The sequence below is a fragment of the Homo sapiens genome, chromosome 2 (assembly GCF_000001405.40).
Source record: "Homo sapiens chromosome 2, GRCh38.p14 Primary Assembly".
NCBI lineage: Eukaryota > Metazoa > Chordata > Mammalia > Primates > Hominidae > Homo > Homo sapiens.
The window spans coordinates 112,898,541-112,908,546 of NC_000002.12; the positions used below are offsets into that span (position 1 = coordinate 112,898,541).

A 10,006-nucleotide genomic window follows, 5' to 3' on the forward strand; every position below is an offset into this window, starting at 1 on the left:
TCATCATCATATCATCTTCATTATCATTGTTAGTATCTCCATCACCATCATCAGCATCACCATTATTATCATCATCATCATCCCCACCATCATCCTCATCGGAACTTCACCTGCATGGAGGACAATCCACTATGCATTAGGTGCTATGCTATTTGCTATACTCCTTATTCTCACAACTGCCCAGAGAGGCTGATATTATCTCACTTTATAACAGGAGGAATCTGGATCGGAAAAGTTAAGGTAAGCTAATTCACAGAGCGAGAAGAGATAGAGCCAGGATTCGAAACCAGTTCTCTGCTACATCAATGTTCCCAGTCCTTGCACTATTGAGAACCTCTTTAGTTATGCTTTCACCCCTCCAACACCACAGTAAATTTTTTCTTTTTTTAAAAAAATTATACTTTAAGTTATAGGGTATATGTGCATAATGTGCAGGTTTGTTACATATGTATACATGTGCCATGTTGGTGTGCTGCACTCATTAACTCGTCATTTACATTAGGTATATCTTCTAATGCTATCCCTCCCCGCTCTCCCCACCCCATGACAGGCCCTGGTGTGTGATGTTCCCCACCCTGTGTCCAAGTGTTCTCATTGTTCAGTTCCCACCTATGAGTGAGAACATGTGGTGTTTGGTTTTCTGTCCTTGTGATAGTTTGCTCAGAATGATGGTTTCCAGCTTCATCCACGTCCCTACAAAGGATATGAACTCATCCTTTTTTATGGCTGCATAGTATTCCATGGTGTATGTGTGCCACATTTTCTTAATCCAGTCTATCATTGCTGGACATTTGGGTTGGTTCCAAGTCTTTGCTATTGTGAATAGTGCCACAGTGAACATTCATGTGCATGTGTCTTTATAGCAGCATGATTTATAATCCTTTGGGTATATACCCAGTAATGGGATGGCTGGGTCAAATGGTATTTCTAGTTCTAGATCCTTGAGGAATTGCCACACTGTCTACCACAATGGTTGAATTAGTTTATAGCCCCACCAACAGTGTAAAAGCATTCCTATTTCTCCACATCCTCTCCAGCACCTGTTGTTTCGTGACTTTTTAGTGATTGCCATTCTAACTGGCACCACAGTAAATTTTTATAGATTTTATAAGCAAATTGTATTTACTGTGCAAGAATTGGTTTATTTTTTAAACCATGTGTTGCAAACATACAATGGTTAATTGTGATATTTGCTCAGTACAAGATCATCAGATCACTACACAGACTTGAGGTAATTCCACCTAAAAGCAAAGAGAACTGACCCCACATTAACTGAGAAGTCTTTACTTATTTATTCCCTATAAACGAGCCAATATGAAGAGAAGGCCTTAATGTGGTTAACTATGTAATTTTTTTCTGACTTTTTGAAATACTGAGAAGAGCTCATGACTCTCCCATCTCCTAATTCTACCTTGGTGGATTTTAGACTGACCACAACTCATGGGTAAATGAGGGAAGACGAATAAGAAACCTTGCTTTTTTTTCCTCCTTGTTTTTGGCTGGCTGCAGTGGCTCACACCTGTAATCTCATCACTTTGGGAGGCCAAGGTGGGAAGATCACTTGAGCTCAGGATTTCAAAACTGGCCTGGGCAACATAGTGAGACCCCATCTCTAAAAAAAAAAAAAAAAAAAAAAAAAGGCGACAGGCGGTGCGTGCCTGTAATCCTACCTACTCAAGAAGCCGAGGTGGAAAGATCACTTGAGCATGGGAGGTCAAAGCTGCAGTGAACCTTGATTGCACCACTTCATTCCAGCCTGGGTGACAAAGCAGGACGCTGCCTCAAGAAAACAAAAACAAAACCTTAATTTTTTGGCTATTCTTTTCTGGTAAGAATGGTATAGAGATGGGGATGAGGATGGCTATTGTATGAGAGAGCAAACAGGGTCCAAGCAGTGCTCTGGGCTGTCTAAGGACCAGTAGTCAGCTTAACTTCTCAAATTTCCAGGGAAGGAGTTTGGAGTGGTAGAATATCCTGGGTATGCCCAAAGCATCACCTTGCAAATAGCCTGTCATGAATAATTTGTTTCATTTGTTATGACTGGAAACTGGCTTTGTGTATGCCAGAGAATGGGGGCAGGAAAGAGAGATTGGTGTCTTGAGCTCTCTGTGCCTCTGGGGCAGTGATGCTTTTCCTCTCATGTGGAAGGAGAGCATGACTGAAAAGGTGCACAAATAAGGTGTCTGTGAGAGAAATTAACCTTCCAGATACAGAGACACAACCTTCCCCAAGAGGTCCTCATTGCTCTGCCTTTTTTCCTTTTTTTTGCTTGTTCTACCATTAATAACAGAAACTGATTATGACCTCAAAAGAGAGGAGAAAGCGACTCTCCCCACCCTAGAGCTAGTTAACCACCATATCTTCCTAGATCTCAGTTCAAGAGTCACTTCCATCCCCAATAAAAGCCCTTGAGTGCTGAGCACCTCTCCGTCATAGCATTTGTCCTAGGGGTTTTTGTACATTTTCTTGTGTGAAACTTGGGTTGACATCTGTATTTCCGACTAGATTACAGTTTCCTCAAGGGTAGGGATGTCTTGCTTGCCATTTTCAGTTCCAGCATCTAGACAGTACCTCAAGCAAACAAGGCCGAGGGGGGTGCGGATCACGAGGTCAGGAGTTCGAGACCAGCCTGATGAACATGGTGAAACCCCGTCTCTACTAAAAATATAAAAATTAGCCAGGCGTGGTGGCAGGTGCCTGTAATTCCAGCTACTCAGGAGTCTGAGGTAGGAGAATCGCTTGAACCCGGGAGGTGGAGGTTGCAGTGACCTGAGATCCACTGCACTCCAGCTTGGGTGACAGAGCAAGACTTCGTCTCAAAAAAAAAAAAAAAAAAAGAAAGAAAAAAGAAAATAAAATGAATGAATGAGTGAGATGAATGAGTTAGCAGTGTTGGATTTAAGTGTCAGATTCTTCCCAGCTTGACTTTTTTCTTTGGCTTAGTGATTTTGAGGTCCCAAGATTTATTTTCCTTTCACAAAGGTGATCACTACCATAAGATCTTCAGAAAAGGAAATGTGGCAGGCCAGGTCTCACTAATGCAGATCTCTATAACAACTGTTTCAGTACTGACTAAATGGTTAAGTTAAATATTAAAAACCAGTGTTCTTATACAAAGGCTGGAATGTAACAAAAGCCCATCAAGAGTTTTGCCCAGGCCTTTTCTGGGCCTTAAAATATGACAAAATAAAGAAGGAATTCTTAACAGGACCCATTTAGGATTAAACAAGTTTTATTGTGGGTCTGAAGAAACTCCCCAGGCCTCCACAAACAAGTTTATTGGTGCTCTAAAGGAACTCCCCAAACCTCCATGATTTAGCAGGGGACAAGATAAGGGTAATTACCCCAGCACCTGGACCCATTTAGATTAAGTAAATTTACTGAGGCTCCAGGGGAAGATCTTCCGGACTCAGACCTTAGTTACAGATTAAAAGAAGTTAATCACTTACGTCTTCAGGTGAATGCACACTTACACGTAGACATATAGCTTAGAAGGTATATAAGCTCTGGAAAATGTCATAATTTTGAGTTGGCCTGGTGATGATTTCCAGGCCTTCTCCCTGTAACTGGTTGCAGAAATAAAAACTCTCTTCCTCCCCAGCTCATCTGCATCTTGTTATTGGGCCATGAGAAATAGCAGCCCAACCCTCAGTTTGGTCCTGGAACAGAAACTCTGGATGAACACTATCAATAGAGCTCTTTGCCATGATGGAAATGTTCTATATGTTTGCTGTACAGTAGTCATTAGTCACATGTGGCTGCTGAGCACTTGAAATGTGGCTAGTGAGATGAAGGAACTGAGTTTTTAATATTACTCAATTTTACTTAGTTTAAACTTCAATAGCTACACATGGCTAGTGGCTACTGTATTGAATAGTGCAGTTCTAAACTATGTACTTCAAGTAGAAGGAAAATGATCCCAGAGGGGAGTCATAAATAGAAGAAGAAACGAAGAGCAAAGAAAATTCTAAATATATGCAAAAATGTAAATGAACACTCATGCTATAAAATAATGCTATTTTAGAAAGTTTTAAAAGTATACGGTATTAACATATATGACATTAAAAGCATGTAAGTTGGGAGAGGATTGAGGTAAGTGAAGGTGTTCTGTGGGCCTTAAATTAGATGGGAGGAAAATAAAGCTACTCATTAACATTAGTTTTTTAAATAAATTAAGGATCCATGGATTACAGAGTAATTTTAGGTAAGTGCTAAAAAATAGAAAATAAATGCATAAGTTTCAAACTAGTAGGAAGAAAAATGAAATGATAGAAAATATTCAAACTAAAAGAAAGCAAGGGGGAGAAGAAACAGAATGAGAATAATGAATAGAAAACACTATAACTGTCGTAGATTTTCAGTCCAAATGCTCTATTTCATTGATTTAAGGGAAAACATTTATTCCTATTTTTACATCTCTGAAATGGCGAGGCATATGCCAAGCTGTGTGTATTACAAGCTCTGTCAGCCAGCTTGTGTCAACTTGGCTGGAACTCTTCATTTGGTCATCAGTTGAGTTTTGTGTGTCATTGTCATTACATGTTTTGAGTTTAATTGCTGTTTAGAATGTCTTCAAAAAGATGCCCTCTGACTTGTCATAGAAACAGAGCAGCAGAATGAAAATTTAGTATTAGTGAAGCAATTCCAATCTTTTTTGCAAACACCAAGAGCTATAAAAAAGAAGCTACTCATGACTTGAAGAAGCTGTGTACTTTTTCTTTGCTTCTGGGAATGTAAAACCAGAGAAATTGCCATATCTCTGAGAATTGAGGAAAGAAATTTTGAGGTGCAGAGAAACTGATGTGATTGATTTATGCACATCACAGAGATATTGTTAAGGTGTGTGTCTCAGGAACTAATTGGTGGTGTTTTTTTTTTTAATTCATACATAAAATATGGCTGTGTTTTACAGTCCATGGTGTATTAGATGTTTGATGTAAATGATTTACATTATAAAGCTGAATAAGGAAAGCAAACAGAACCCATGCTGTTTTTGAGATACAGCTAAAATCAGCTGGGCATGGTGGCTCGCGCCTGTAATACCAACACTTTGGGAGGCCGAGGTGGGTGGATGACCTGAGGTCAGGAGTTCGAGACCAGCCTGGCCAACATGGCGAAACCTCATCTCTTCTAAAAATACAACAAATTAGCTGGGCTTGGTGGTGGGCTCCTGTAATCCCAGCTACTTGGGAGGCTGAGGCAGGAGAATTGCTTGAACCCAGGAGGTGGAGGTTGCAGTGAGCTAAGATCGCGCCATTGCACTACTCCAGCCTGGGCGAGAGAGTGAGACTCTCTCTCAAAAAAAAAAGAAAAAAGAAATATATCTAAAATGTAAGAATGGAGAAGGCTGAAAGAAAAAGGATGGAAAGAGATATACCACACAAAAACTAATTAAAAGAAAGCAGCTGTATCTGACAAAGTGGACTTTAAGGCAATAAGCATTGGTAGACATAAAGAGTGTGTCTCCTTAAAGATAAAAGCTTCAGTTCACCAGGGAGATATAACGATTCTAAATTGGAATTGGCTCTGGAATTAGTCAGATTTGGGTGCAAATTTTTTTTTTTTTTTTTTTTTTTGAGACGAAGTCTTGCGCTCTGTCCCCCAGGCTGGAGTGCAGTGGCGCGATCTCGGCTCACTGAAAGCTCCGCCTTCCGGGTTCACGCCATTCTCCCGCCTCAGCCTCCTGAGTAGCTGGGACTACAGGTGCCTGCCACCATGCCCGGTTAATTTTTTTTTGTATTTTTAGTAGAGACGGGGTTTCACTGTGTTAGCCAGGGTGGTCTCGATCTCCTGACCTCGTGATCCGCCTGCCTCGGCCTCCCAAAGTGCTGGGATTACAGGCGTGAGCCACTGCTCCCGGCCTTGGGTGCAAATTTGAGCTTTCTCACTTATTAGTGTAAGACATACAGCTAATTTCTAAATCTTCCAAACCTCAGATTTTTCATCCATGAAGTGAGGATTATTATAGAGCTCACTAATAACATGGCTTCAAAAATATATAATGCCAAAATTGAGATCAAAATAATAAATCTATATTACATGGGAGATCTTAATGTACCTCTTATATTATTGATAGACTAAGATGATCAAAAAAATAGAAAGAGAGCAGTAAGGAGAGCAAGCATTTAATCAATAGGACCAATACATTTTAATCAATAGGATCCTCAGGAATATATACAGAATACCAAACCTAACAACTGCAGAAAACATGCCAAACATTTAGGTACAGACATTGTTGGAAAATGCAATCTTGAAACGAGTGGACTGACATTCAGAAGATATTAATAAGAGCACTAATGATGGGGATTGCAACCATGTCTTTACTGACTTCCAGAAGCTTCTTACAGTAAACATGAAATCACATAATTTCTTCCACTTTCCTACTGTTTCTTGTTCTGGGCTCTGTCCTGCTTACTGTCTAATATCTTGGCCCCTTAAAAGTTGCTAATCTTCCAAACCTCATTCCTGTGACTGGGCCGCTGGTCCTTGTTCATGGGCCTTGAAGATACTGACTGTACACTTATCTGGAGCATCCAGTGCCTACCACCTGACCCAGATTCCTCATTGCGCTCCTCCCTCCTCCACCTAATGGGATTTGCTCATACCCGTGTGGGACCCCTCCCATTTTCCCCAACTGAATACTTATCAAGACAACGCATTGCCATACTCCCTCGTACCCTGCTCTGGGCATCAGACTGAATGTTTGTTTCCATTGAGGATCTGCAGCTGCATCAGTTTCCCCAGCACCGTCCAACCCCTTGAGCATGGCTAGTCCTAAAGCAGAGAATTAGCCTTTCTATCCCTGCTGCTATACATGCTGGGACAAATAATAAGAAATGACAGCATTTTATGATAATGCAGGCTGCAGGAGGCAGGAGGCAGGAATCAAATTCGTGCTTATCAAATAGTGCTCCAATTCTTTGAATATTGGACTATAGAATATGTCATGGATCTATGCTCAGGTGGGTTCCCTATTACTCACTCCACTGAGGCCAGGTTGTGGGATTAGCTGTCCAAGAGGGAGTTTCAGTCTCACAGCATAGGGTCATTCTGAGAATTACTGGCCCACACTTGTGTGGAGACCTCCAGAGAACAGAATCTGGGTTGGTGCCATGTACTTCCAGGAGGAGAGAAGTGGCAGGATGCCCAGCCCCACAATCAGAGGGGAAGGGGCAGAGCCACATGTATGAAGATCCTCTCCCCAGTACGTGCCAATCACAGGGCTTCCTAGCTTTTGGGCCAAGGAAACAATGTGGGAAGCAAAAAAGGACAATTTTCTCCTCCCTTTGCATGAAGACTGAGCAGTTTTACCAGATTCCCAGGGAAACACCCTTCCACTCTGGGTTGAATGTGAGTGAGAGACATTCAGCTGGAACACTAGAAAAACTATTTCCTGAGCCACTCACCTTTAGCCCTAGAAAGTGTTGGATTTGTCCTTCATCTTTGCCACAGTAGAGACTGCTGATAGCATCAGAACTTGGGCTCTGGAATTAGACAGATATGGGTACAAATCTGAGCTCTCTCACTTATTAGTGTGGGATGTAGAGCAACTTTTAAAATCCTTCCAAACCTCAGACTTCTCATGCATGATGTGAGGATTGTAATAGGGCCCACCTAATAGGGGTTTTTGAGAATTAAAAAAGTTATTCAATGAACAGCATTTAGCAAGATGCCTGACCATTGAGAAAATAACAAATTGTTTATTATTATTGTTATTATTAAACATCTTTCCTGCACCTTCTGACTGGGGGCATCATATCATCAGAAATACTTAGGATGGGATGGATTCCTGCATGGGCTGAGTCAAGGGTGCAATAATGGAGGAGTGAAGAAGGAAGAAATGGAGGCAGAAATCCCCAGGAGCCCAGCATGGTACAAGGCTGAGCTAGTGCTGCAGAGCCTCCTTGGAACAGCCACAGAGCTTGCATCTGGCCCTGGAGGAACCTCTTCTAGCTGGCAGGACCAGCCACAACAGTGGCCAGGGGATTTCCCAGGGCGTGGGCTCCTAGGAGTTCATTTGGACCAAGCCTGCCTGGAGAGGGGTTATAACAGGGATCCTTCCCTACTGGCAGGTGATTTACCCCTCGGTGAGAAGCTCAGGCATTTGTTTGATGGAAGGTGGAAGGCCCTGTGCTGGGCCAGTGACTATCAGGGATGGGCGGGTGGCTGGAAAATAGCAAATAAGACAATATGATAACACAGTTAACCACCACACTATGTGAAGCTACAATATGGGTATCTGTAATAGACAATTCCAATGTAGAGAATAATTCTAAGGTGTCATTCTCCCCCCCAATGCCATAAGCACACGGCCTCTGCCTGGGTTTCTCACTGTGGAATGTCCTCCTGGTCTCCTCATGCCCAGAGAGTGGGAAGTACTCCTACTTTAACACCGGCTTTCCTGTCATCTCCCTGCAGCCCTCCTCAGCCCCCTCTGCACAGGGAGGTTTCCTCCCTGCTGCTGCAGTGCTTTGTACTTGTTAGTGGTACCTGCACACAGGTATTGGTGTCCTTGTCTCACCACCCTACATCACTGTAAGCTCCCCAGGAGCAGGCTTCCTGTTTGACTCACCTGTGATCCTCCACCTCCCACCCTGTAGTGCCTCAAGCATTGAGGACAATCACTGGCTGCCCCTTAACCCAGAAATGCTGCCGAGACAGGAGGCCATGGCCCAAGTTCCTGGAATGGGGTATTACTATGTCAGCACAAAGGCCTTTGCACAAATGAAGGCTTTAAAAATGCAGTCCTAGTCAGGTGGAGGAGGGCTTATAGGATTCCCAGGAATCTGGATCATTCTCTTGAGAGCTTTCCCTTGTCTCTGTTAAAACTCACATCCTACGGCCCAAATAACAACAAAAAATGGATGTAAATTCTTGAAATAACTTGTGGATGGGGGAACAAGGCCCACCCCCCAGATCTGCCAGAAGCTTCAGGTGAGGGTCCCAAATGCCAAAAAGTCTGGTATCAGAGAGGATGGCCAGTGACCTGGGGACACATGCCCTTTGCTGTGTCACTCAAGGAGCAGCAGCCTCGGCCCCGCACAGTGACCAGGACCCTGGCTTCCCACGCTGGGCAGGAGCTGGTGTCTGATGAAGGGAATGCCTGGCAGCACGTGCTGTCTGTCTCCTCGTGTCAGCTTACCTGGCTTTGCTGCGAAGAGGCCACTTGCATTTCTTTATTTTTTATATTTTTTTAATTTTTTAAATTTTTTTATTTTATTTTTATTTTTATTTATTTATTTATTTTTAATTTTTTTTTAATTTTTTAAATTATGCTTTAAGTTTTAGGGTACATGTGCACATTGTGCAGGTTAGTTACATACGCATACATGCGCCATGCTGGTGCGCTGCACCCACTAACTCGTCATCTAGCATTAGGTATATCTCCCAGTGCTATCCCTCCCCCCTCCCCCCACCCCACAACAGTCCCCAGAATGTGATGTTCCCCTTCCTGTGTCCATGTGATCTCATTGAATTTCTTTAAAGGTGGAATCTCTCAGTGGGGTCTAATCTGTTCAGAAATATCAAAAGAGTATCCTTGGGAATGACTGGAATTCCAGAGTCATCTGGTAATCCTCATAAAACAACTCCTGGATGTCTCTCAGCACATCTCCCACCTTGAATGCAGGAGGCTGGTTCAAATGGAGGAGCATCGCTCTACTGCACTTTTTTTTTTTTTTGGCCTAAAGTGCAAAAGGGGATACGTTTCATGTAAATAAATCAACTGCAAATCGCTAGTTATGCTGAGCCCTGTCCCGTGCTGTGGACACAAAGGAACCAAAGGCTTTTCTCCCCGCCCAACACACACATAACACACACACAAAATCATAAAAACATACATACCCCCAACACATAACAACACACAACACACACACAAAATATATACACACAACACACACCAAACATGCCCACAAACCTGTGTCCAGAGATAGATCCTACTGGTGGGTTTGTGGTCTCGCTGACTTCAAGAATGAAGCCGTGGACCTTCGCAGTGAGTGTTACAGCT

General features: G+C 42.7%; 1 long non-coding RNA gene across 1 annotated transcript; it reads right to left on the reverse strand.

Annotated features, from left to right (window-relative positions):
* Positions 1-67: 67 nt before the first annotated feature.
* On the reverse strand, positions 68-10,006 carry LOC124906068 (uncharacterized). The gene is made up of 3 exons (XR_007087196.1): positions 9,917-10,006; positions 7,407-7,484; positions 68-110 (listed from the first exon to the last, which is right to left on the reverse strand). It is a non-coding gene; the product is annotated as an uncharacterized LOC124906068 (long non-coding RNA).